At 44.0% G+C, this 25,682-nt stretch overlaps 1 protein-coding gene and 1 long non-coding RNA gene across 3 annotated transcripts in view, besides 9 other annotated features; one reads left to right on the forward strand and one right to left on the reverse strand.

Annotated features, from left to right (window-relative positions):
- Positions 1-309: 309 nt before the first annotated feature.
- LOC105378994 (uncharacterized) lies at positions 310-11,032 on the reverse strand. 2 transcript variants are annotated; one of them, XR_007058781.1, is made up of 2 exons: positions 10,956-11,032; positions 310-603 (listed from the first exon to the last, which is right to left on the reverse strand). It is a non-coding gene; the product is annotated as an uncharacterized LOC105378994 (long non-coding RNA). The 2 variants fall into 2 exon arrangements; XR_007058780.1 differs by lacking the exon at positions 10,956-11,032 and adding an exon at positions 10,581-10,654.
- Positions 9,164-9,734: an enhancer, noted in NCBI's record as "NANOG-H3K27ac hESC enhancer chr5:60626175-60626745 (GRCh37/hg19 assembly coordinates)". NCBI's record gives its function as "activates a minimal SCP1, AML or CMV promoter by ChIP-STARR-seq in naive H9 embryonic stem cells {active_cell/tissue: H9 hESC(naive)}" and the evidence as "EXISTENCE:reporter gene assay evidence [ECO:0000049][PMID:30033119]".
- Positions 9,164-10,118: a biological region, named in NCBI's record as "NANOG-H3K27ac hESC enhancer GRCh37_chr5:60626175-60626745".
- Positions 9,418-9,712: a silencer, noted in NCBI's record as "tiled region #180; K562 Repressive non-DNase unmatched - State 4:PromP, and HepG2 Repressive non-DNase unmatched - State 4:PromP". NCBI's record gives its function as "represses a minimal TATA promoter and a strong SV40 promoter by Sharpr-MPRA in K562 cells, with weak repression in HepG2 cells {active_cell/tissue: HepG2 | K562}" and the evidence as "EXISTENCE:reporter gene assay evidence [ECO:0000049][PMID:27701403]".
- Positions 9,539-10,118: a silencer, noted in NCBI's record as "silent region_16044". NCBI's record gives its function as "represses an Ori minimal core promoter by ATAC-STARR-seq in GM12878 lymphoblastoid cells {active_cell/tissue: GM12878}" and the evidence as "EXISTENCE:reporter gene assay evidence [ECO:0000049][PMID:35858748]".
- Positions 10,149-10,218: a silencer, noted in NCBI's record as "silent region_16045". NCBI's record gives its function as "represses an Ori minimal core promoter by ATAC-STARR-seq in GM12878 lymphoblastoid cells {active_cell/tissue: GM12878}" and the evidence as "EXISTENCE:reporter gene assay evidence [ECO:0000049][PMID:35858748]".
- Positions 10,429-10,828: a silencer, noted in NCBI's record as "silent region_16046". NCBI's record gives its function as "represses an Ori minimal core promoter by ATAC-STARR-seq in GM12878 lymphoblastoid cells {active_cell/tissue: GM12878}" and the evidence as "EXISTENCE:reporter gene assay evidence [ECO:0000049][PMID:35858748]".
- Positions 10,939-11,078: a silencer, noted in NCBI's record as "silent region_16047". NCBI's record gives its function as "represses an Ori minimal core promoter by ATAC-STARR-seq in GM12878 lymphoblastoid cells {active_cell/tissue: GM12878}" and the evidence as "EXISTENCE:reporter gene assay evidence [ECO:0000049][PMID:35858748]".
- The window catches only part of ZSWIM6 (zinc finger SWIM-type containing 6), a 213,915-nt gene continuing 199,306 nt past the window's right edge, over positions 11,074-25,682 (forward strand). Inside the window, exon 1 of the mRNA NM_020928.2 lies at positions 11,074-11,764. Within this exon, the coding sequence (NP_065979.1) occupies positions 11,089-11,764 (676 nt within the window). The 5' untranslated portion in view covers positions 11,074-11,088. The remainder of the gene's footprint in view (positions 11,765-25,682) is intronic.
- Positions 11,859-11,968: a silencer, noted in NCBI's record as "silent region_16048". NCBI's record gives its function as "represses an Ori minimal core promoter by ATAC-STARR-seq in GM12878 lymphoblastoid cells {active_cell/tissue: GM12878}" and the evidence as "EXISTENCE:reporter gene assay evidence [ECO:0000049][PMID:35858748]".
- Positions 12,729-12,848: a silencer, noted in NCBI's record as "silent region_16049". NCBI's record gives its function as "represses an Ori minimal core promoter by ATAC-STARR-seq in GM12878 lymphoblastoid cells {active_cell/tissue: GM12878}" and the evidence as "EXISTENCE:reporter gene assay evidence [ECO:0000049][PMID:35858748]".

Here is a 25,682-nt window from a genome sequence, read left to right on the forward strand (position 1 = left end):
ACTGACTTTTGTTAGTCAAAGCGAGTGTTGGAGCTGGGAGTGGGGGTCTGTGGTGGGACTCTTCAATTCACGGACTCTCCTTAGTGAAGTTCATTTGGTCCTCTCCAATCCCCAGCGTCCCTTTTCCTCCTAGCACCATCCTTCAAGGCCTGTCCTGAATTTAATTTTCCACCGGAGGTTGGCACATAGCTTAAGGCATCCCTTGGGAGCATAAACTGGTAATGACTTGAAATCTTAACCCCTAAAAGGATATTGATATTTTTTCAAAAGGTGCTCAGGAAGGTGTAAAAGAATTAAATCTCTAATGGCTGACTTGTAAATTGGGATTATCTTTATTCTGGAGACTTAGCTTTGCTCAAACATACTTTTTGGGTACAGATCTCCTCTGGGCATTCCTAAGGCCAGAATTACAGGCAAGAAAAAGTGGTCCTGGAGAGGAGGGTGGGTTGCAGTGGGGAGAGATCCATCAGATGGGTGCTCGGTAGGAGGATAGATACTGAAGAGGTGCGGGAGAGGCCAGAAGGCTGAACTTCCACATGGAGACAAACTAGAAGCTGGTTTTATAATCTTCCGTATCTGTCCTTCAGGGAACTTGCAAACTTTCTGGTGGCATGAGATGTAGAATATTACAATACAGATTACATAACAGGTTAAAAGCTGAGTCTTACAATGGTCATATACATGCACACAGGTTCTAGGTTCAAAGTCTCAAAGAAATTAAGTCATTGTGAGAGGATGTAAAATTGTGGACATTTGCCTATTAAGGAGACAAGCAAACTATTTTTTTCCTTTTTCAGATTTTTCAAGTTTTTCAGGTATGTCTGGTCAAGTTTTCTGTGGATATTAGCAACTATCAAGTATGAAGATTATAGAACAACAAAAAAAGCAACATTACATGTTTATGTCTTGCTCTGGAAGTCGAGATTTTTATTTCCTTGTGAAATAGATAATAAAAAAATAAAATTAACAATGTATATACACCATGGTTCTTTGTAACCCGAGTGTCACAAAGAGCTCTATAAAATATCTGAAGTGCTTGAGGTTGCCTAGAGGGAAAAGGTAAAGATTCTCACTACAGAGCTAATAGTTCCTGCTCAACAATTTGAATTTCACTTAAGAATAAACCTGAGAGCCCACATCTGGGAGAGCATGTTTACCTTTAATGTAGCAGTTTGGAGGTGGAGGCATTCCTGGAAGAGAACAATGCCTGATGCATTATAGGCACAAAAATAAAGATTTGTTGATGACACCGAAGCCCTGCCTCCACACCAACATTCTCTCAATTCACAAATACTATCAAAGGAAGAAAACTCTAGAACTCCATTAGAGTGGATATCTCCCCGCTCTTAATCTCCCAGAGATCATTGTTTCCTATTTCCATGGAAACTAGAAGACTTGAAATTGCCAAAACTTGAGAGACACTTGAGATGAAAGCCAGAAAAAAAAAATTAACAAAAGACAAATGTTACAGGCAGCATGTATGACAGTGTGGTAAAGTTTCTGACATTTGTTTGGGAAGATTTTCTTATTTCTTTGCTTGGAAGAATGCAATGATTTCCAGAATGTGGCCATAATAGCTTCACACCATGCTGCTGAATGTTCATCGAGTAGATTTTACTCTTTTCTAGAAAGGAAAGGAAAGACCCATGGGCCTTGGCAGCAATCAAGTGAATGTTAAGCTGTTGGAAATTGCTCTCCTGGCACACCTTGATGTTAACCACAATGAGGAGGCCAGTCTGGCTGAAGTGCCCTTGCTCCCTCCCTTCCATGCAGTGAACAAATATTTATTGAGCACCTACTATTCTCCAGGTAATGTGTCCTACATACAACTAAATGAAAAATTACAACTCAGATAAGAGCCCCTAGGAGAAGTACACGTAACTACTAGAGTGTGTAATAGACAGAACTGACCTGTCAGGGCGGCCAGGCTTTCCTAAGGAAGTGTGATTAAGCCGAGCAGGAGGAAACTAGGCAGTGGTTGTGGGGCCTGGGGAAGGAGAACATTCCAGGGAGCAGGAACTCTTGGGCAAAGGCCTCTGGAGGAAGTGAGTGTTAAAGGAATTGAAAGTAGGCCTGAGTAGCCTGTGTTGGCAGAGCTCCAGAGAGCAAAGGGAATGAACTTGGGGTAAGGCCATTTGGAGAGGTGGGCAGGGACCAGGTCATTCCTAATGCACAGTCTTGAGTCTTGCAGGGCAGGCTTGTTAAGGATTTGGTTTCTAACCCTCCCCTCTCCAGGGTGAACTCAAGCTGTCATAGGAGTGCATGGCATACAGTCCTTGTGTGTGACCTGGGAATGCAGATTTTGTTTCATCTGAAATCTGTCAAAACATTGCCATAGATTTCAGAAGTGAACCACCAAGTTCCAAAGGTTATAATTTCATTAAATGCTTTAAACCTAAATCATGTTCAGTAAATATTATTTTACACATGATGATTCAGTAGGCATCTTGGACTCATCATCACAAATGTCAATTATCATCCTATATTAACCCCTCAGAAGCCAGAGTTTGGTCATCTAATAACTTCTCCATTTTCTGGGACCTAGCTGGAATCTAGGAAGTCTGCAAGAGGCAAAATAAATGTGACAAAGATCGTGTACATTTTAACCAGGTGGGAGATTCTCATTAAGAACTTCGCTGATTTTACTTTACACATAATTGTAGAAATAAGGTTCTCCGGGTTCAGAGGCTACAACATGGGGAGAGCAATAATTCAGAAAGTGAGAAGCGACATTATGGGTGGTTATATGACAATAATTAACAGTAAGAGGGGCTAGGCATGGAGGTACATGCCTGTAGTCTTAGCTACTCAGGAGACTGAGGCAGGAGAATCACTTGAGCCCAGGAGTTTGAGTCCAGCCTCGGCAATACAGCAAGATCGACTCTAAATAAACAACAAAAAAGTGAAAGTAACAGGAAATAGCACAACTGTAAAGGCTGAGACCAACAAACCAAAACAAAACCTAGAACAAACTAAATAAAAAATGGAGGGAAAAGAAGGGAAGGGAAAGAAGGGGAAAGAAGGGAAGGGGAGGGGAGGGAAGTGGGGAGGGAAGGGAAGGGCAAAAGAAATAAAGAGAAAAAGAGAAGAAAAACCAAGCCAGCAATCTGGGTTTTTTGTTATGAACAAGCAACCTTGCGTACCTTAGTAGCTCTTAAGGGCATCATTGTGTTTATAATCAGTCCTTATAATATGCTTAAGAAGTCAAAGAAGTGTGTCATGTTTTAGAAAGATTTCTAGTGTGCAGGGTTAAGCCTGTATTTTTATTTTATTTTGAGACAGAGTCTCACTCAGTCACCCAGAATGGAGTGCAGTGGCGTGATCTCAGCTCACCGCAACCTCTGCCTCCCAGGTTCAAGCCGTCTTGTGCCTCAGCCTCTGGAGTAACTGGGATTACAGGTGCTTGCCACCAAGCCCAGCAAATTTTGTGTATTTTTAATAGAGACAGGGTTTTGCCATGTTGGCCAGGCTGGTCTCAAACTCCGGGCCTCAAATGATCTGCCTGCCTCGGCCTCCCAGAGTGCTGGGATTACAGGTGTGAGCCACCACACATAGCCCCGTTAAGCTTTTAAAAAGATTTTTGGGCCAGGAGCAGTGGCTCATGCCTGTAATCCCAACACTCTGGGAGGCCAAAGCGGGCGGATCACCTGAGGTCGGGAGGTGAAGACCAGCCTGACCAACATGGGGAAACCCCATCTCTACTAAAAATACAAAATTAGCCGGGAATGGTGGCGCATGCCTGTAATCCCAGCTACCTGGGAGGCTGAGACAGGAGAATCGCTTGGACCCCAGAGGCGGAGGTTGTGGGAAGCCGAGATCGCTCCATTGCACTCCAGCCTGGGCAACAAGAACAAAACTCTGTTTCAAAAAAAGAGATGTTTGGTCCTTAAAAAGTACAACTTCAGCTCTTTGGGAAACCTGTCCAATCTGGGTGGTTTTCACAAAAGTTCTGCATAACCATGGTTTTATTGCAACGTGATTCCGTGGGGGTGTGAGTTAATATAGATTTCACGTTGAAAAATGTCTGATACACCAGCTTTTACTGAAACCTCTTCATTTTCACAAGTTATCTAATTCTGGATTTGAACAAAGTCATTGGAAGTGACATTTTTCACATCTGAATTGTCATGATTCCTTTCTTGACAGGGAGTGAATTCTTGAATATTTAAAAATACTGTAGGTGATAAAATGCCGTTAATAAATTTGTTTCAGAATTTGGCTTTCATGTTTAAAATTTTAATTTTCATGTATCTTAAATGCAAATAATCTTTATCTAGGCATAAGGTGCCCCCTAAAGTTACCTGGCTGTCTAGATTTTACATCTTTACTTCCTCCAAATAGGAATGAGAATGAACAAAGTACTATTTGATCACTTTGAAAAATGCTCATTCTATATCCTTACAAAGTGAATTTTGGAATGACATTACTTTCTGTAAATACATCCTTCATACATGTCAGAGCACCTTTTGTCTCCCTAGAGAATATGTCTTAAACCTCTTTTTCTTGTACCATCTCACATTATCAGAGATATCTGCAAGAGAGTGACCTAGTAGGGTGAGGCAATTTTGAGAAAATCATTAATTTTCTAAATTATGATTCTCTATACTAACACTTTTTTAGTGTTTAAAAGTGGGAGTTTTTTCCTAGTTAACACAGGTAAATAAATACTGAAATAAATGTCTTTACATTATCCTATTAAATAGATTAAATAGTATTCTTTTGTTTATCCTGTGACAATCTTAACAAAATAGTTCATAAAAAGTTAGTTATTTAAAAGGGGAAATATTAAGGTTATAAGGAAATGTGGCATTTCCTATTTCTTTTGGCCATCACTGGGTTCTAAGCCTGTTTTGAAGCCTGATGAACCTTCCAGTTTTAAGATGTTTTCATTTAATAAGATCCTCACCATTGCACTTTGCATTGGAGTAACTAACAGAATGATAATAGCCTGGTAACTTTTACTAATATTTAAATGGTATAGAGACTATACGCTAAAATGTTTTTCTTTTCTGAAAATTGACACACGCAAATTATTTAATATTTAATGAAAGCAAATCTCTTTTACTTCTTGAGGGTAGAATTATTGCCCAAATCACAACATTTAAAACAAATTCATTTGTAAGCAATTTTGCCAGCCTGGTTTTTTGGTATATATTGAGATGCAATAATTTATTTTTCAAAATTCCAGCTTGTAACTTTAAAGGCTTCCATCTAAACAGAATACACTGTTCTTAGAAGCAGGTTGGAAAAGATTGGTTGATTGATCAGTGGTTGAATATATTTTCTTATAATTCAGCACATTTTAGAAGGGGACATCTTAAGGAATGAAATAGTGTGGGTTACTGAGTGACAATGTGGTGTGGAATATGATATTTCCCAATTTTGCCTATTCTGAAGAATTATCCAGGGCATGGGTTAAAAAGATAGATTCCAAGCTCCACCCCAGCCCTGCTGAATCAGAATCTCCAGGGGAGAGGTAAAGGAAATGTATATTTTTAACAAGTGCTCAGGGTGATTCTTATGACCTGACAAGTTTGGGAAATACTGGATAATGGAAAAAAATTCTGGCTTTAGAGTGAGACCGACAGAACTTGAATCCTTGCGTGGCCAGATAGCAGCCAAATAACCTTTGGCAAATTTCTCTGAGTCTCAGTTTCTTCGTTTGTTTCTTGTGTAAGAGGCATTAAATGAGTTACTGTTTGTAAAGGACCTAGTATGGTGTCTTTGCCCACTGTCCCAAAATACTAATGGTAAGATATTAGTGGCTTGGCTGGGCACTGTGGCTCACGCCTGTAATCCCAGCACTTTGGGAGGCCGAGGCGGGCAGATCACCTGAGATCAGGAGATCGAGACCATCCTAGCTAACATGGTGAAGCCCTGTCTCTACTAAAAGTACAAAAAATTAGCCAGGCATGGTGGCGGGTGCCTGTAGTCCCAGCTACTCGGGAGGCTGAGGCAGGAGAATGGCGTGAACCTGGGAGGCAGAGCTTGCAGTGAGCTGAGACTGCGCCACTGCACTCCAGCCTCGGCGACAGAGCGAGCTCCTATCTAAAAAAAAAAAAAAAAAAAAAAATTGTGGCTTGATTCTCAAGGATTCAACAAAGTTAAAATGAACCCTCTTCAAAGTTGGAGTAATGGTTTAAATTTTTCAGTTCTGGTTGATCATTCCCTGCTTACCTCTTCCTTTGCACAAGAATCTATTCCATGGAAATGACTGACCAGGAAGACTCTTTTGGCACTTTCTCCTGTTACTGGACATTTTTCACTGATGAAGTATCATCTATTCTCCCTCATTCTTCGCTCTTTTTAGCCATACAGAGTGAGATGCTCTCTCACTGCACAAGAGGGGAGAATGCCTGGTTCATAGGTTAACTATGCTGTTTTAGGCTTTTATTCTCCTCTAAACAAATTATATTCCAGGGAACATAATTGGCTTCGACTACAGTATTAAAAAATATGTCCCAGTATGAAAAAGAGAATGGAAATGAATATAACTTTGTGTCCATCTTCAAATGACTTGAAATTCCTTAGATCTAATTTAATTTCCATGTCTTGGAATCTTCCTACTAATGGCAAATTATTGTCTTAATTAGCTGAGATGACTAGCAATAATGATGAGGCAATGCCATTTTCTCCTGCAGGCCTCCTAAGCGCAGGACCCTGTGAAGTTCTTGTCACCAAAGGGTAGTTTTCAAACTTTAGTGTAAAGATGACTCATGTGGGGAGCCGCTACATGTGTTAATTTCCGTTTCCCAGCTCCAAAGTTGTGTGCATTTTGCCCTGGGGCACTCTAGGGGTCTCTCTTTGAAAACCACTGCTCCAGGAATTTGGTAAACCGCTACCGAATTTAATTCAAAAATTTCATTTCTAAGTTAAAGGAGGGTGGAGGAGCCATAAGAGATCTCTGGCTAGGACTCCACTGCCCTTCTCAAATAAATTCCTTTGCCATTCATCTGTCCATCAACCTATCTATGCATCTGACTGCAGTGGGCTGGGTGCTAGATGTGGTGCTCAGGTGGGTGTTGGGTGGGGTTTTCTCACTTCCTTCAGTTCATCAGTTTAGCTACTGGGAGTACTATTTATGAAGTGGGCCAGGGAGCCTAGCTCCTGACCACACTAGTGATGTGGTGTGATGTGATATGAGTCACTGCATATGGGAAGCAGTAGACTTTCTGTACTTTGATTTCCTACCATTGCCTAATGGTAAACACTGGAGGCGGCTCTATCCCTGATTTGGTCCCTGGGGTAGAAGCCTGCTGGAAAAGGGTAATCATAAGTAATTCAGTAATGATTTCTATGAACACCAGGAAAAACACTATAATTACTCAAAAAAATGAGAGATGGCAGAAGCACTAGCCAAAGATGACACACCATCACTCACTTCTCCCTTGGCTCCTGGGTGTAGCTAACCTCTGGGGAGACAGAAACCTTGCAGGACAATGCTGGGCATTCAGGGACTACAGAAATGGACAAGGCATATACCCAACTGTCAGAGAATTTCTAACCAGGGAAGAGAGGAAGAGGAAAAGAGAGAGAGAGAGAGAAAGAGAAAGGACAATGGCTTAGGCAAGTGTAAACATAACTCTGATGCTAGGCAGAATGGTATAAATGTCACAAGAACGATCCAAAGTGTTAAAGGGGCTTGAGGAGAGAGAGATCACACAGCCAGGTGGGTTTTCCCAGAGGAAGTGGCATTTGAGCAAATCCTTGTAGGAAGGGTAGGAATTTGACAAGTTGCAAGGGAAGGGAGAGACATTTCAGGCAGCAGGAACATCTTGAGCAAATGTGTGGGGTGGAGAAGTCCTGTTGGGACATAACAGAATTCCTGCTGGGGAACTGGGAAACGTTCTGTTGGGTTTTAGTGGGAGGCAAGGCTGAAAAGTTGGGTTTGGTCAAGATCAGATCTGAGTTTGGATTTCTCCCAGTAGGCAGCAGAGAGCCATTTACAGGGACTTAAGCAGGAGGGTGACACAATCCGAAATGTACTTTAGGAAGCACAGCAGCTGGGTGGAGGATGATTTGGAGGAGGAAAGGCTATACAGACACACCAGGGAGGAGGCTCCTGCAGAGTGAAGAGGAGGAATAATTGACTGTGAGCAGCCAGAGGGGCTGGGATAGACAATACAAGTCAACTGTGGGAGTTACAGGAAAGAGGCAAAGGCAGAGGAAAAAGCTTGGGGCCCTGGGAACAGGTGGCAACAGTATCAAAAATATAACGAAAGAAGAGAACCTGGATTCTAGGGAAAGGTGGTTCTTTGGGTTTGAGGTGGCCGTGGGCATCCTGGTGGTGATGGAAAAGTGAGCTGGCCACCAGGAAGAAATACGTGAGCCAGAGAGGGAGATGATACTTTAGGAAACGGTTATAGGGTGGGTGGTGGAAACTCTCCAAGTGGTGGATCAAGCAAAATGAAGAGGACCGTGATAGGCTGCAGGGCAGGGTATACATTAAACAGTTTGAAGGAAGATAAACAAAAAAGAGGGAAAAGAGGAGTTGGAGACACTGGAGGGATGGCAGAATTCCGGGAAACTCAGAGAGGGGCCCAGTTCAAGAGGAGGTCAGTAATCAGCGCCAGAGAGTGCAGGGAGGGCCGGCTGGGTCAGGCTGAACTGGTGGCCCCTCATTTGTCTCTGAATTAGAGAGCTTATAATAGATCCCTCCAGCAAACGACGGTGCCTTAAATCCAGTCTCTTGCTCGTTATAATAACGAAAGCTCTAAAAGTTAGGCACCTCCAAAGGTACCTACTTCCCTGTTCAATGTGAATTAATCTCTTCTACTAACAACCCCTATGACCCTGAATGAGTCATTTATCCTGTCTGGGGGCACCAGTTTTGTCATCGCTGACTTTCCAGTTCAGTGATTCTATGTGTTTATGTGTGAAAATGCTTGCTAATCTACACATTATACAAGCCTAAGTCGTATCATGAACTTCTGAAGAGAATAGAGCCCAACTTGTGTTTTACTTTTAAACTTACTGTCTTCTATACCTATGTTTTACACAATTATAAGATTATTCTTATTTTTAAAGAGATCTAGAAATGAAACCCCTGAAAGAGACTTCTCCCTCTACTTGCCCATAAAGATCCTCCAGTTTTCCGCACAGGCTTTTTCCTAGACATGGAGGAAGTGCCCAGAAAAATACTGGACGGATATACAAAAACATAATGCCACAAAAATTTTCCTAACAAGTAAGGCAGCTGCGGAAAGTCGGCCAGCGTCCCGACCCCAGGGACCTGCAGCCTGGGACTTGTGAAGGCCCACTGTGTAGCTCGAGGTTTCCAGGGCCTCGGCCCCGAATGGGCGATTTTCTTTAAAACGCCGAAGCGCGCTATCCCTTTAAATCCAGGCTGCAAGGCAGGCGGGTGGGGAGCAGCCAATAACCTTAAAAGATGCGAAAGTGTCAAAGGAGATACAGTTTATCTCCAACAATGGGAGCGGATCAGCACCACTGTTTACAGTAAAAACAGAAGGTGGGGCTGGGAGGAAGCCTGTCTCCGACGCGGTAATTAAGTCTGCGGCTTGGAAGCAGATTTGACCGAGCTCTGTGGAGCGCGAACAATGTCCGCAGGGCTCCAGGTTCAGAGAGGGACTCGCTTCTCCGCCTTCGCCCGCGTCCAGGCACCAGCGAGCTGCACTCTGCACTCGCTCTCCCTGGTCCACCCCTACACTGCCCGGACCCGAGGGGACTGGCCCTGCGGGCGCCGCCAAGGCGACTGAGAGCGCGGCGCGCGTCCCGAGCGCCTGGACTCCGCGCAGCCGGGCGCCGCGCACCCGGGTGCCGGGGTGGGAGCCGGGCCGCAGACCCAAGTGCGCCCGAAGCCGCCGTCCGCCGCCTGGCACGCCGTCTGCCGCCTGCTGGGCGATGTGTGCGCGAGCCCGTGGGGCTTGCGCGCGCCCTGCGGCGTGTGTACTCACAAAGGTGTGTCTGCTAACCCCACAGCCCGGGCTGCGTTCCACCCCGAGCTGGAGAAACCCCGGCCTGGAGCGGGGCCTTGTCCGCGCGGCCGCGGGGGCGACAAGGGCGGCCGGAGCTCCTCGACTTCTAGCGGGCGGGTCGGTTTCCTGGCCCGAGGGGCTGAGGCAGCGAGGGCGGGACGGTGGCAGCCGGCACCGGACGCGGGTCGCGCGGCTGCTGGGCACGTTCCGAGCGCTCTGCGTGTTTTCGGGCACAGCCCTGCAGCCGAGACAGAACGGACGCGGGGCTCGGGGATGGGCGCACTGCAGCCACGCGGGGTTAGCAGAGCGGGCGCGCTCCTTCCACACCAGGTCTGCAAAAGTGAAGTGGAAAGCCGCCGCCGAACGCAGCCATCCTCCCCCTTCCCCGCTGCAGCTTCGGCGGGTGGTGGGGAGAGCTCCCCTGGACCGGCTGGAGGGGAAGCTGGCAGGCGCTCGGGTTTGGCCGCGCCTCCTCCGCCTTCCTCTCCACCCGCGTCCCCCGGGGTCCATGCCGCATTTCTTTGTTTTGAAAGCGCCTCCTCCGCCCAGAGGCTTTTCCCCCGAAGGGCAGGGGGACGGGGGGGGTGGGGCATCGGCCCGTGGGCCCCGCCCTCCATTTAGCTCAGAACCCTCCCCTTCGCTCACCCCCTCTTCTCCCCTTTCCTCCCCCGCTGCGACCCACGAGGCGCATCCTCACTTCTCGGACTTCAAAGAGAAGCTGAGAACTGGAGGGGGAAGTGGGGTAGGCAGGGGGCGCAGAGACCCACCCACCTCAGGCCCGGCCCGGCGGCCCGCCCCCTCCCACGGGAACCCCGCCTGACCCCGCCCTCCCCCGCGTCACAGCAGCCTGACATTCTCACAACCCACCGGGCACCAAAACGGCCCGCCCCCGCCACCCCCGTGTCCGCCAAGCGCTCTATTTATGTTTCAGCCCAGCGATTTGCATAGGCCCCGCCCCCGGCCCTAGGTTCCCCCTATCAGAGCCCCGCCCCAGCTTCTGCGTCACAGCGGAGGCCCCACCTCTTGTGCCCATACAAGGAGCGGCGGGCCCTAGATGGCATCGTGGCGTCGCGACGGCGTGTGCGTGTCGCGCTTCCTAGTGCCGTTTATAGGGTCCCGGCACTTCCGCTGTCGGGTTAGAAGCGGCGCGGTCATGGCGGAGCGCGGACAGCAGCCTCCTCCCGCGAAACGGCTTTGCTGCCGGCCGGGCGGCGGCGGCGGCGGCGGGGGCAGCAGCGGCGGCGGCGGCGGCGCGGGTGGCGGCTACAGCTCTGCCTGTCGGCCAGGCCCGCGGGCGGGTGGCGCGGCGGCGGCGGCGGCGTGCGGGGGCGGCGCGGCGCTGGGGTTGCTGCCGCCGGGCAAGACCCAGAGCCCCGAGTCGCTGCTGGACATCGCGGCGCGCAGGGTGGCGGAGAAGTGGCCGTTCCAGCGCGTGGAGGAGCGCTTTGAGCGCATCCCGGAGCCGGTGCAGCGCCGCATAGTCTATTGGTCCTTCCCCCGCAGCGAGCGGGAGATCTGCATGTACTCGTCCTTCAACACCGGCGGCGGCGCCGCGGGCGGCCCCGGCGACGACAGCGGTGGCGGCGGCGGCGCGGGCGGCGGCGGCGGCGGCGGCTCCTCGTCTTCCCCGGCCGCAACCTCGGCGGCCGCAACCTCGGCCGCCGCCGCCGCTGCCGCCGCCGCCGCCGCCGCCGCCGCCGCCGCGGGGGCCGGGGCCCCGTCGGTGGGGGCTGCCGGGGCGGCGGACGGCGGCGACGAGACGCGGCTGCCTTTCCGCCGGGGCATCGCGCTGTTGGAAAGCGGCTGCGTAGACAACGTCCTGCAAGTCGGTGAGTCACGGGGCAGCCGCGAGCCGTCTGTCCGTCCGTCAGTCCCTGGGTGGGGGGGGGGTGCCCGCCTTTCTCCTGCGGACAGCCCCTAGTTCCGCGCGCGCCCGCACCCCTGCGGGTGTCCTCACTGGCCCGGACGGTCCTCCTGAGCGGAGCGCCCATTTCCTCCCTCCCTTCCCTGCCCCCCGTCGCCCCGGACGGGCCAGCGCGAGTGGGAAATGAATCAGCAGGACGCGCCCCTCCGTGGGCTCCGCGCCCCCGGCCCGCGCTCCCCTACCCGCCCTCCTCCGGGGAGCACATCCTGGAGGGCTGTTCGCCGGTTTCGGGGGTGGATGTGGACAAAGGCGCGGGCGGACGGCCGGCCTCCGGCGAGGGTGTGTGTGGCGGGGCTGTGCGGGGCGGGGGAGGGGGCGCGGGCCGCAGACAATGCCGGCCGCGGCCCGGCCGCTCGGCGCTCCCCCCCTCTCCCACTGCCTGTCGCTCGCTCCTTTTTCTTTCTGGCCCCCGCCCCACGCGATTTGAGGGGAGGGGAATACACTTAAAGCCGCTCGGCCGCCGCTCCTCCCAGGGCTCCGACGGGCGAGCGGCCGCGGCGCTCCCGGGTCGCTGTGGCGTCTGGCCCGGGCGAGCTCCACTGGCCGCCCGGGGTTTAAATGTCGTTTTCTTTGCGCCTCCTCAGTCTCCAAGCGGCGCAGAGGAGAGGTGGCGGCGGACCGGACTCCGTCTCCGGAGGGACATCTCGCCCGTAGGACGCTTACTAATTAAAGGGCGCGAGCCTGAGGAGGAGCTGCTAGCGCTTCCCTTTTCTCTGAAGCTGCCTCCAGACACCCCTGTGCGGGCCGCGGCGCAGCCCTTGTGCCCCGCCGCCCGAGTTTTGTTTGCGCTGTGTGGTCAGGTCGTGGTGCCCCGGGCGAGCCGCGGTCGGCAGTTGCGGATTTGCCGCTCGCAGCCAAAGGGGCGAGCGGGCTGCAGGAGCGCGAGGCAGAGGGCTCGGCGGCCGCTCCCGCGTCCCCGCGGCGCGGCAGCCCGGCACGACCCAGCACTTTGTTCTCATTTTCAGGTTTTTTTGTGCCCCTTTCAGTTTTCTGTCACCCTCCGAAAAGGAGAAACCAAACAAAAGAGTCTCTTTCTTTTCAGGGCTTGTAAAGTAGAATATATTTGACAAAGGCGAGAGAAGGACTTGTGATTTAGAGCTGCACAGCCTTCCTTTCTCTGACAGATCCTGAGAGTTTTCTCAAATACCTTAGTTTAAAAGTGTCTCCTGTTCCCCCTCCCCTAAAATGTTCTTTTTCCCCTGTCCAGATCTTTTTCAGCCATAGCGATGGGAATGTTTGAGCCAGACTGAAAAGAACAATGCTGTAGTGAAACTTCCCATTTTTTTCTCCTGATTGCAAATGGCATATTTTCTGACCCCCTCCCATGTTAGTGTACTTGAAATTGTAGCATGGTGAACCCGGCACCGAATGAATGGGGATAGATTTGGACGCATCTCTATCTCTTTGATTGTTAACTTAATCCTTTTTCTCTTTCTGTAGTCAGTTCCTTTTATCCTTCTTTTCTTTGGAAGTGGGGTGGGGGTCTGGATAGGGTCCCCAAGAAAGAATTAAGATTTGTTTTAATCCTGTCTGGTTAATTTGAATTCTAATGCCATCTGCAAACGTGGTTTTCTGCATGGTCATTTATTTCCAAAGGCAGCCCCCAGTGTTGCCTTTTCTATGTTGGGCACTCTTTCCTTCTGTCTAGAGGGGGTTTAGCTTTTGAGGCTATTCATCTATCCTTTTTTCCTTAAAACAAATCTAATTAACATTCTTCCTAGTTATACCTTTTTTTTTGTTTGTTTGTCTGTTTCCTGCCGGTTAGCGATGGATGGAAGCACATCTATGGCTTCTCAGTATAACAAACTAGAGTCTGCGAATTTTTATGGCTTGGCTGGCAATGTTGAGGGTTTTTTTTTTTTTCCCCCTCCCTCTCCCTGTGCTTGACTCCGCTTGCAAGCAATGAGGAATGACAGGAGAGCGCATAGGGAGGGTTTCTTGGCTGATTGCATTTAAGCCAGGAATTCACTGTGAAAATAAAGCCAAGGGGCGATAAATAAAAGAGGCAATCTTCTCTAGGAGACAGACACACAGCGTGGGCTTTGCCTGCTTTCATCAGTGGAAGAGGCCTGGGTGAGTAGTTGTAAAAGAAAATAGTAACTTTTTGAATAGTCCCCAAAGGGGAAGAGGCCACTGAATGGAATTGGCAGTGGTTGACGTGAAGTGGTGTGATGTTTCTCGTGTAGACTGAAGAGTTGACCACCACTTCAGAAACACATACGTGCTAAACAAGTGCTATACAAATTGTGGAAAATATTCTTTTTTCGCCTCTGAGTTCTGCCATTTGCCTTAACTTCGAAGTTGTATTACTTGTTGTGCCAGTCAGCTTTAGAGATGGAAGGCTGTTAAATGCCTGGCAGCTGGCACTGAGAGATAGAACACTTATGATCAGGGTTCCCCCCACCTCCCTTTATGGGGAACAGAGAGAGGGTGGCTAGATTAACCATTTAATTTAGCTTCAAGTAGTGGTTTGAATTGATATGCTAACTTGAAAGGCTTATTTTATAATTTTGATTTGAGGTAGAACGCTTTTGTTTGTTTCAGTTTCTTAAAATGGAAAAGAACAGAATACTTTGTTGATAGCACCATAAAGCAGTTTTCTGGTATTGCAAAATTACAAGTGTACAGAAAGTATTCATTGACTTTTGTAGAGATGACTAAATTATAGCTACAATAGGGAAAATCTAGTTGTTGGACTTTATTTTACATTTATGCTGTTGATAGTTTAAGGATTGAGGGGTTTGTTAGAAATTAAACCTATTGGTAGTTACTGTTTCTCAACTTCTATATTTTAAAAAGAAATTTAAGGGAAAAAAATAAACCTTTGTTATAGTAGTTGTAAGCAATATTTAATTGGCACAGAGCTTGCTCATCAGTTGATTATAGGAAAATTTTAGAGAAAGAGTAGTTGGCTTATTTTTGTTAAGTAATTTATATTGCCGGGCACGGTGGCTCACACCTGTAATCCCCGAACTTTGGGAGGTTGAGGTGGGTGGATCGCTTGAGCTCAGAAGTTCTAGACCAGACTGGGCAACATGGTTAAACCCTGTCCCTACCAAAAATAGAAGAACTTAGCCAGGCATGGTGGTACGCATCTGTGGTCCCAGCTACTTGGGAGGCTGAGGTGGAAGGATCACTTGAGCCCAGGAGGCAGAGGTTGCGGTGAGCTAAGATCGTACCATTGCACTCCAGCCTGGGTGACGGAGTAAGACTCCATCTCAAAAAAGAAAAGAAGAATTGATATTGATATTGGAAGGGAGCTGCCTCTATAGGTGCTGGTATATAAGTATTATCGACATCATTTAAGTAATGATTTAGAAGTTACATAAAAAAAAAATTTCCCCAAGTTATTTTCTGGCGAAGAGCTTCCCTGGTATGACCTGAAACTCAAACTTGGAAAAGAGATAAATTTAATTGGATAAAAATCAAAAGGGCCGGGCGCAGTGAGTCGCGCTTGTAATCCCAGCACTTTGGGAGGCTGAGGTGGGTGGATCATTTGAGGTCAGGAGTTCGAGAGCAGCCTGGCCAACATGGCAAATCTTCGTCTCTACCAAAAAATACAAAAATTAGGCATCGTGGCACATGCCTGTAATCTCAGCTACTTGGGAAGCTGAGGCAGAAGAATGGCTTGAACCCGGGAAGCGGAGGTTGCAGTGAACTGAGATCGCATCATTGCACACTCCAGCCTGCGCAACAGACTGAGACTCTGTCTCAAGAGGAAAAAAAAATCAAAAAGTTTCTGTAGGGCTGAAAACACTACAAATCAAATTTAGCAGTTAATTGGGCCAAATATTTACAGCACATTGGACCAAAGGTTGGTAGAAAACTTACAAAAATTGTCAAGAAGAGAGATGGATAACCCAATAGGAAAATGGGCAGCACATTTCAGAGAGGAAGACATGTAGATGGCCGGTAAACATACTCATCTTCATTCTTACATAAAGAGATGCAAATAGGCTGGGCGTGATGGCTCATGCCTGTAATCCCAGCACTTTGGGAGGCCAAAGTGGGTGGATCACCTGAGGTCAGGGGTTAGAGACCAGCCTGGCCAACAGGGCGAAACCTCATCTCTACTAAAAATACAAAAATTAGCCAGAGCGGTTGCGGGCGTCTGTAATCCCGCCGCTCGGGAGGCTGGGGCAGGAGAATCGTTTGAACCCGGGAAGCAGATGTTACAGTGAGCCGAGATTGCACCACTGCGCTTCAGCCTGGGTGACAGAGCGAGATTCCGTCTCCCCCCCCAAAAAAAACAAAAACAAAAAAAACGAGATGCAAATAAAAATGAGATGCCATTTTCTTCTACCACATTGGTGAAGACTAAAAAGACAATACCCAGAATTGGTTGAAGAGATTTGGGAAAAAGGATTCTGCCTACGCTGCTGCTTGACACCATCTTTTTCTGTCTAAGGAATTTATCCTATAGATAATACTGATATTAGTGTATAATGATGTTCTGTATAGTGATGCTCATTGCAGTGTGGTTTGCAAGAGTAAAAAGCTGGAGTTAACCTAAATTTCTACAGAAGGGAAGTGCCTAAGAAATACTCAGTGGAATACTATGCAACTATGAAAAGATGAATTAGATTTATATGTACTGACAAGGAAAGATGACCAGAATATTTTAAAACAAGTTAAAAACTTCATATAGTATGCTGCAATTTGTATTTAAAACAAAAATACTTGCATATAGATGCATAAAAACATCTGTAAGTCTACACAAGCAATCTTGGAAGTATGGGTATTTTTCGAGAAAAGCAGTTAAGTGAATGGTCAAGGTTTTTGGGGGGGACTTTAACTTTTTACTTTATACCTATTTTATGGTTGGGTTTTTCTTAAAACTAGAGGCATATATTTTTGTAATAAAGAAACTTACAAAAATTATCCTTGAGTTTTTAATTTATATTGTTTTGGTGTGTTCGCATATGTGTGTGTGTGTGTGCTTGAGTGTGTGTGAGGGTCCTTTCTGAAGGAAGGAGATACATTTTAAAAGGAATGGCCTTTTAAATGGCCTATTTTTCTATTTACTTTTGGGAGAAAAGAATATCGCCCAGCATTCCACATAACATTCTGGTAAACACATTCTTACACTCTTTTCATATTCATAACTTAAAGTTTTGTGTGTTTTTTTTTTTTGTGGGGGTGGCAAAGCAGTAAAAGAACATTATTAGAATTAAGATGGGTACAAATTTCAGTCAGATAATTTATTGGTTTTTGAATATTTTGATTTTTCTTTACAGACTAGAGATCACTAAATAAAGACGATTCTGAATGCACATTGAAAATTGGATGCTTGTTTATTGATAGTACATTTCATTGAATGCTTTTTCAAGGTTAATATAGAATAATTTTATGTCAGATCCTACCCTTTTTCTGCCTTTTGATTAATGAAATACACAATACATTTTGAAACCAGTTGCATAGGTATTTTTTATTGTTCTTTTGTGTGAGTTGAGATGTTTGATTTATGTAAGTGATTTTTGAAAGTATTTCAGTATTTGATAGGTCCTTAGTGTTGTTCTGAAGGAAGTTAAATTTTCAGTTTTAGGAATACTTGGAATTTGTTATCATACTTAGTTCTCTGAAGGATAATATTGCTCCATTGAGAAAATCTAAAATGTTCAAGAGACAGTGACAATAATGGAAGGTGAAAATGGCGGATTTGGGTTAAGCAAACATTTTCATTCTTTTTAAAGTCTTTAATTTCTTGCAACTCAGTTGTGTTACAAGTACACCCTGGGATTGAAAAGGCTATCCTCATTATTTTTTTTCCACTTTGCATTGAGTTTCATCTATTTTGCGGTTGTGAGACTGATGCCTGCCTTTTTAGAAACATCAGGATGCCCTTGGAACATGTCCTTTAATAGAATTATTGCAATTAATTGAACAGTTTAAGTCATTATTGTTCTAAGTATGTCCTCACTGATTTTTAAGATTTTTATCCTGGGCCTCTTTTTTTTCCACAAAAATGGATAATCAATTGCTGTCTCAATTCTAACCCTATGAATGTTTCATATGGAAAGATATGGACCAGCATCTCTTTCTGCTTACACTCATATTCACGGTTAAGAATGTGTGATTTCAGCTAGTAATGTGTTCAGTAATAGGCAGTGTAGGAATGACATGTTTTGTTTTATAAGAGTTGTCCCTTTGAAAAATCACATGAGACCAGCCTGGGCAACATGGTGAAACCCTATCTCTACTAAAATGCAAAAATTAGCCGGGCGTAGTGGTACACCGCTGTAATCCCAGCTACTCAGGAGGCTGAGGCGGGAGAATCGCTTGAACCTGGGAGGTGGAGGCTGCAGGCTGCAGTGAGCCGAGATTGTACCACTGTACTCCAGCCTGGGTGACAGAGCGAGAACCTGTCTCAAAAAAAAAATCACATGACTGGATCTGTACTATTTCCACATGCTTTATATTTTTTTGTGTTAGACTGTAAATTTTCTTCACTGAGGCAAAATAAATTTGGTACCTTTATTTTAAGAAGCTTACTTACATATACATATGATAAAACAAACTCAGTGTTAGAAATTTTTATAGGGGCAATCATTAAACTCAAACTGTTGTTGACTTAAACTGTTATATTTAAGAGCACAAATATCCTAAAAATGAAAGATTATAGGTAACTATAAATATCTTAGAAACAAAGCGGGTTATAGGCAGGTCTTTTTAAAAAGGTAGTAAACAGTATGAAACCCACAAAACCGTTTTTAGCTACCTTTCAAATTACTGTGGTATAATTTTTAAAATAGTGCTTTGTCACAACAAAAAGGCTAATTTAGTTTTTGTGATTTATTAATTTTTTAACATGTAAATATTTGGGGATTACTTTAAATTCAAAACCACGAACTGTTTCCCTCTTTAAGTGCATGTGCTTTGAAAAAATCAGTATCAAATGATAATTTGGAGAAAAGTGTTACTGAGTCTTGTCTTGTGAAGAGACGTTTTGTTTGTCAATCCTACCCAGATCTCAAAAGTAAAGTGTGTCTGTTAGATAAAAACCTGGTTGTCTTTTCAGTTTTTGCTTTCAGTGCCCTGTGTTCCTCTAAGAATATGCTTTGTACTTGCTTTTCAGTTCTTTAAAAATAGGACATTTCCTTATTTTTTTTCATCTAGAAAAGATCCCTAAAGCAAGCTTCAGAGACAATACGGTGCAAAATTCCTTGTCATTTTGAACTTTCAGCTGACTGAAAGATTGACTTTCAGCTGATAGTAAACTGTTGCTTGAGTATGCTAAATGTTTTATGTCTGCGGAATTCGCTTAACTAATTTTGTGTCAGCTAATGTATGTGTGTATATATGTCTACAAATATATATATGTGATGATGTCCACAGGTGAACAGAAAAGGAGACAAATTAACCCAGGTGTAATTTGAATGTTGTAACCACATGCATATTTCAGTGACCCCTCTGTACAGATCCACAGTTCATTTCTTCTTAAAATATGCTGAAAGAGGAAAGGTATTTTTGTAAATAAAATACTCTTGCATTATAGTTGTTATCTACTAGTGGAGCTATGGAGATTTCAGAGATAAAAAGATAACTTCAATTTCAGTTTTTCCCATTTTCCTGGTAAGAAAACTGAGGCCCAAACTCGTTGAGTAAATTGTTTAGAGTGGCATAGGAAATGGCAAAGCCGTGTTGCTTATTTTTCCTACTGTTTGGGCCGTGTCTTAGTTTGGTAGTCTCTGAAATCAAGCATATTCTTGAATGTAACTTGAACTCTTTGGAGGGGTTATTTGGCTAACATTTATTGAATGTTAATAAATGTATTCCTAGATAGCATTTTAGTTTCAGGCTAAATTCTAATGGCTGCAGTGCAGTAGTGGTTCTAGCATGCTCAGTTCATGCTAGTGTAAAACATTTGTGGATATTTGGAAATCGTAGTAATGTTTGAGATTAAAGTTCAGAAAAAGGATTGTTAACTACAAAACTGTATTACAGCTGTGTGATTATACAGCAAGTCCTTGAATAACATTGTGTCACTATGTCATTGATGAGAAAATAAAAAAGTCAGTTCTGGCCAGGGCCATTATCTTGGGTGGAGTTTGCATGGTCGGCCTGTGTCTACGTGGGTTTTCTTTGGGTACTCTGGTTTCCTCCTACATCCCAAAGATGTGCACCTTAAGGCAAATTGTCCCATCTAAATGGCCCCAGTCTGAATGAGTGTGGGTGTGTGTGAGTGTGCCCTACAATGGGGGTGCATCCCATCCAGGGTGGGTTCCTGCCTTTCTCCCTGAGCTGCTGGGACAGGCTCTGGCCACCTGCTACCTTGAACTGGAATAACTGGGTGAAGAATTACCTTGTTTTTATTAATCGTCGTAAAATGTATGTACATCTCACATTCATTTCAATGTTTAATATTAGAAGTGTTGTGGTCTTTATTTAGAAGTTTGGTGATGTTTTTGTGACCAGAAATATGCCATAGGAAATTACTGTTTATGTCAATTAGCCTATGATAAATTGGTTTTGTAATATGTCATTTTGATTACAGTCATTTTCCGAGAACCTATTGATGGCATTAAGTGGAGGACTTGCTGTTACATGAATGTATACATATACCCATATAATAAAGAATTTGCTGAAAGTTTGAAGTGCTGATACAGAACAACAGAAGTTTGCTCTCAACTTAGTGTATATATGAAAACTTCTCCAGTATTGTTTGTATTTGACCAGGTTTTTAAAATATAATTTATTGTTTTTGTCAACGTGCCTCCTCCTCCTTCACCGGTAAATAGTATACACATAATCCTTCAGGATGTACCTATACATATATGTACTTCTTTCACATAAATGATGTGGTCTCCAAACTGTAGTACTCTCTGTAACCTTTTTTTTTTTTTTTTTTTTTTTTGAGATGGGGTCTCCCTTTGTTGCCCAGGCTGGAGTGCAGTGGTGCAATCTCAGCTTACTGCAGCCTCTGCCTCCCGGGTTCAAGCGATTCTCTTGCCTCAGCCTCCTGAGTAGCTGGGATTACAGACATGCGCCATGACGCCTGGCTAACTTTTGTATTTTTAGTAGGGTTGGGGTTTCACCATGTTGGCCAGGCTAGTCTTGCACTCCTGACCTCAAGTGATCCACCCACCTCGGCCTCCTAAAATGCTAGGATTCAGATGTGAGTCACCACACCCGGCCTTTAAAGCCTTTTGTATGACTTGGGGCAGTTCTTCACTGAACCAGCTGGATGTGATTTATGGTGAGACTCTTTAACACTTCTACAACATTTACTAATAGTAAGAGTAATAACAACTAACATTTCATAGCACTTAACCAGGTGCCAAATACTGCCCTGGAATATAATCAGAAGAAGTGAGTAAGACCTACTGAGAGTATATTCCACTTCCCTCATTTCCTTTTGTGTTTCTTAACAGCCATATGAGTTAGGGACCATTATTGTTTCCGTTTTACAGATGAGGAAACCGAAACACAGGGAAAAAAGTAGAAATAACTTTTATTGCTGTTAAAAACAGAGCCAGACACATGCAGCCTCTTTGGTTGGTGCTCAAGCAATACTGTCCATGATGCATCATCATTACCTATTCCAGAAGGTTTAGCTTTACAGTGTGTTGCTACTTTCTAGAGTGACTTTCACAGTGGCCTGGATTTTAAATTGTGATCAAAGGTATCATTTTAAAATGTTATTTTTTTCCAATTGAGAGGATTTATTTAAAAATCATAAGGATATTTACACATATTAGGATTTAAAAAAATTTTGGTTGTCTTAAAATGGACATACTATAATATTGATCATCTTAACCATTTTTGTGTGTGTGGTTCAGCAGTGTTAAGTACATTTACATTGTTACGCAAATAATCTCCAGAACTCTAAAATTTTACTTGAAAAACTACTACATTAAAAAAAAATGTCTTTTAGGAATGAATTTCAGCTTTGGAGGATGGTTGTGTTGGGTGATTTTGATCATCTTCCATGAGATGTTAAGTTTTGAAAGAGAAATTAACTTGCAGGTTAGATCTAATCGTATATATGCAGCAAAGTTAGGTTTTCAAAATATATTTGAGAAATTAAATATCTCATTTTAAGGTCCTTTTAAAATGTTACAATTATATTATTTCTTGTTGCTGGTAAAGAGATTTGACATTCTTTGAAAGATAGGGTTTTATCTGTGCAATTCCTGAATGCTGATGTTAATTGGAAGGATGCAGTAGAACCTGTCAGTACATTTAAACTCTTACTAACTGAATAAGCTGATCAGATACTTTGGAAGCTCATTGAGTGAATTAATGTGCTTAAAACTCAGGTGACTGGTTCCCTATTCCTGCCTTGAGAGTCTGTTTACTTAAAGTATTTTTCATTGTTAGTTGGTATCAGATCTCTAATGTTGGAAGATTTTATAGAGAAAATATACATGAGAAGATACCATGTAGAATAAGTCCACAAAAGCAAGTTTTAAATTCTCTTACGTAATTACAATCAGTACAGATTAGAATTTTGTATACGCCAGGTTGTATGTGATAAATGTTTGCTGATAGTTACTAGCATTTTTATGAGTGTAGTACTGTGTAGGGATTCTGTAATTTAGGTATAAGGGGCATACCTGGAGTCTTTTCTGGTGTGGCTGTAGGTCTTTGTTGGTAGAGGCCTGGTCATGCTGAACCTTTACTCCTGCTGCTACCTTTTCTATTAACTCATTTCTACAAAGAATATTGTGATTTTTATAATAAGTACTTGTCATAAAATAAGATTCTAAAACCCAAATATCATGTTTGTAATCTAGTTGTTTTATGTGAGCAAACTTTTAAATATGTAATATGTTAGCCCTGTTCCTTTATGACTTTGTTTTTTAGTGTTCTGCAAGTTTCCTTATCCTTAGCACTTTGGACTTTTTTTTTTTTTTTGGTGAGACAGAGTGTCTCTCTTGTCACCCAGGCTGGAGTGCAGTGGTGCAATCTTGGCTCACTGCAGTCTCCAATCTCCACTTCCTGGGCTAAAGTGATTCTTCTGCCTCAGCCTCCTGAGAAGCTGGGATTACAGGCACGTGCCACCACGCCTGGCTAATTTTTTGTATTTTTAGTAGAGACGGGGTTTCACCATGTTGGCCAGGCTGGTCTGGAACTCTTGCCCTCAGGTGATCCATCCACCTTGGCCTCCCAGAGTGTTGGGATTACAGGTGTGAGCCACTGTGCCTGGCCAGGATTTTGTATTCTTGATGCCATTTTTACAGTTCTTTTTCCCTTCTTCCCCCAAATACCACTTGTGTAATTTTTGTCTGATATACGTTCAGCCCAGTGAACTAGCCAGTCTTTTCACGATTGTGGTTTATACTTTTCTCTAGACAGTGGTGAAGCTGATGAGTGAAATGACCAATGGCTGCTTTGTGATGATGGCAGGGTAGAATCAAGTGAGACTTGAGGGCAGCAGGTGCGGAAGACTGTGAACTCAACTTGCCTCACAGCTCCAGTTTGTTCTTTCTTTCTTTCCTTTCTTCCCTCATTTTCTTTCTTCTTTTCCTCTGTCCTTTCCTTTCTTGGGGATGGGGTGAGGGAAGGGAGGAGAAAGGAGTGTGTGGTAGAAAAGAAGACAAATCAGAAGAGATAAGTAATACCTACTGAGAGTATATTCCATTTCCCTCATTCCCTCCAGTTGTCCCCCTCTTCCTCCAATCACCCTTTAGGGAAATAAAGTTGAGGTCAGAAGGACCTATGTGTTACAGCTGCTGCTTAGCTGCTATTTTTAGCATGGCCCTACATCAGGCTGGCACCAGGCCACGACGGCACAGGGTCAGCACGTTGTGGGACTGCTGGTAAATGTCAAAAACTTAACTTTCAGATATCAAACAAAACTAAATTTCAGACATATTCTGTGCTGTGGTACTCTATTTGCTTTTATTTTTTCTGAAATAGGATGTACATGTTTTTAGAAGTGATTGATCTTTAATAGTAGCCATACATAAATCTTGGAATATGTAATGTATAGTTTATTTTAGGTAGGAGAAAGATTTAAGAATTGTCTTGTCAGGTCAGACGTGTAATCCAGCTCAATACTTTTCATTTTGCGGTGCCACCAAGAGGTGTGAAATTTGCCTGATTTATTTACTATGCCTCGGGGGTTCTTAAAATTGCTGTAGCTGTTGAAGTTGTGGAGTCTGAATTAGTTTATATAATTATAGGTGCCATCAGACATTAAAAAGAAACACATACTGTTTTTCCTACAGTTATCCCTGTTCTCTTGGCTAACTCATTTGTGTGTGTTTAGATTTGGTTAATACTCTAGTAATATATTTAAAACTTACTGTTCATTTTTGTAGGGAGCAGCTAGGTTTTAGTTGAAATATTAGTATCTGGGTCTAGATTCTATACACCCTAGAGCCAGTGTTATGTAGATTGTGTTTGCAAATTGAGTTTAAAGTTTTTGGATGCATATATGAATTTAAGAATGTGGCTATCTGTAAATATGTTGTATTTGTTCTTGAGTAATTTTGGAAAGAAAAATGTCACAAGGTGAATTTGTATCTTTGGAAGGGACTTTAGTAAGAATAGTAATTGTATTCTTTCTATAAAGGTACATAGAAAAACTGAGGGCATGTTGGGGATGATTTGTGTTGTACCATGAGCTACACTGAATACAAATGGAAACGCTGATGATTATTTGCTTATCCAGTGAGTAGTGGTGTAATGTTCTTAAATCCATCAGATGGCAGGATAACGTTTAGTAGTGCAATGATCTGACACCCTTCTTAAGGTAACACAAACTAATTGGCCCAAATAACTAGAAATGGAATCAAACTGATTTTCTTCACATTATCTTTAAGGTAGTTATTGGATGAATTCTGCTGAATTTACTCTTATGGAAATAAGAAAGCTTATGTTGAGGGATTTAGTGAAAGGTGAATTGCTTGGTCTAGTATACAACAGAAGGCAGATGTTTTAGAGTTTATTTACATTCTTACATCTTTTTGTTGAAACAGAGTGTCGCTCTGTGGCCCAGACTGGAGTGCAGTGGCGCGATCTCAGCTCACTGCAACCTCCGCCTCCCGGGTTCAAGTGATTCTCCTGCCTCAGCCTCCCGAGTAGCTGGGATTACAGGCGCCCATCACCACGCCCAGCTAATTTTTGTGTTTTTTTTTTAGTAGAGACGGGGTTTCACCATGTTGGCCAGGCTGGTCTCGAACTCCTGACCTCAGGTGATCCACCCATCTCTGCCTCCCAAAGTGCTGGAATTATAGGCGGTAGCCACCGTGCCTGGCCCACATTCTTAAATCTTAAAACAGATTCTTATATTTTGGATGACAGCAAGTTGGGTAGTTTGCTGAATTATTAGGAAACATAGTGAATATCTTGGGGATAGAATATCAAGTTCATTGAACTATATCATAGTGTAATCTTTCTGTAGTTAGAGGTTATAGTAGATAATTCAAAAGTGGCCTGGAGATAGATTGTCAGCTGACCTATTGATATCAATGTATCTCTCTAGATATGTGTATATGTATAATTTAATATGATGCATAGAACATTGTAGAGTACTGGATGTTAGTGGGTAAGAGACTACCTTTTGTATCTTTAATGCAATTTACGTTTTGTTTAGGTGAGTCATGTAAATTGATGTGAGCTCTAGCTTAACATGCCTTATTAAAACCAAAGCCCAGTAGGTAGTTTGATTAGTGCTGTTTAGAGTTTTTATAAGCAAAGTGCTCAGATGACTTTCCTTATTAGAACTTGTCAGAGCAGTTTCTTTGCAGTTTTCATGGATCTCCCTTAGCAACTTACTAAAGAGGCATTTTGTTTAAGCTGTTTCATAAATAGCAGGAAATTCCAAAGGCCTGGATTGTATTGCATTTTTGCTTTCAATAATGACTACTACTGTG

The sequence above is a fragment of the Homo sapiens genome, chromosome 5, assembly GCF_000001405.40.
Source record: "Homo sapiens chromosome 5, GRCh38.p14 Primary Assembly".
Lineage (NCBI taxonomy): Eukaryota > Metazoa > Chordata > Mammalia > Primates > Hominidae > Homo > Homo sapiens.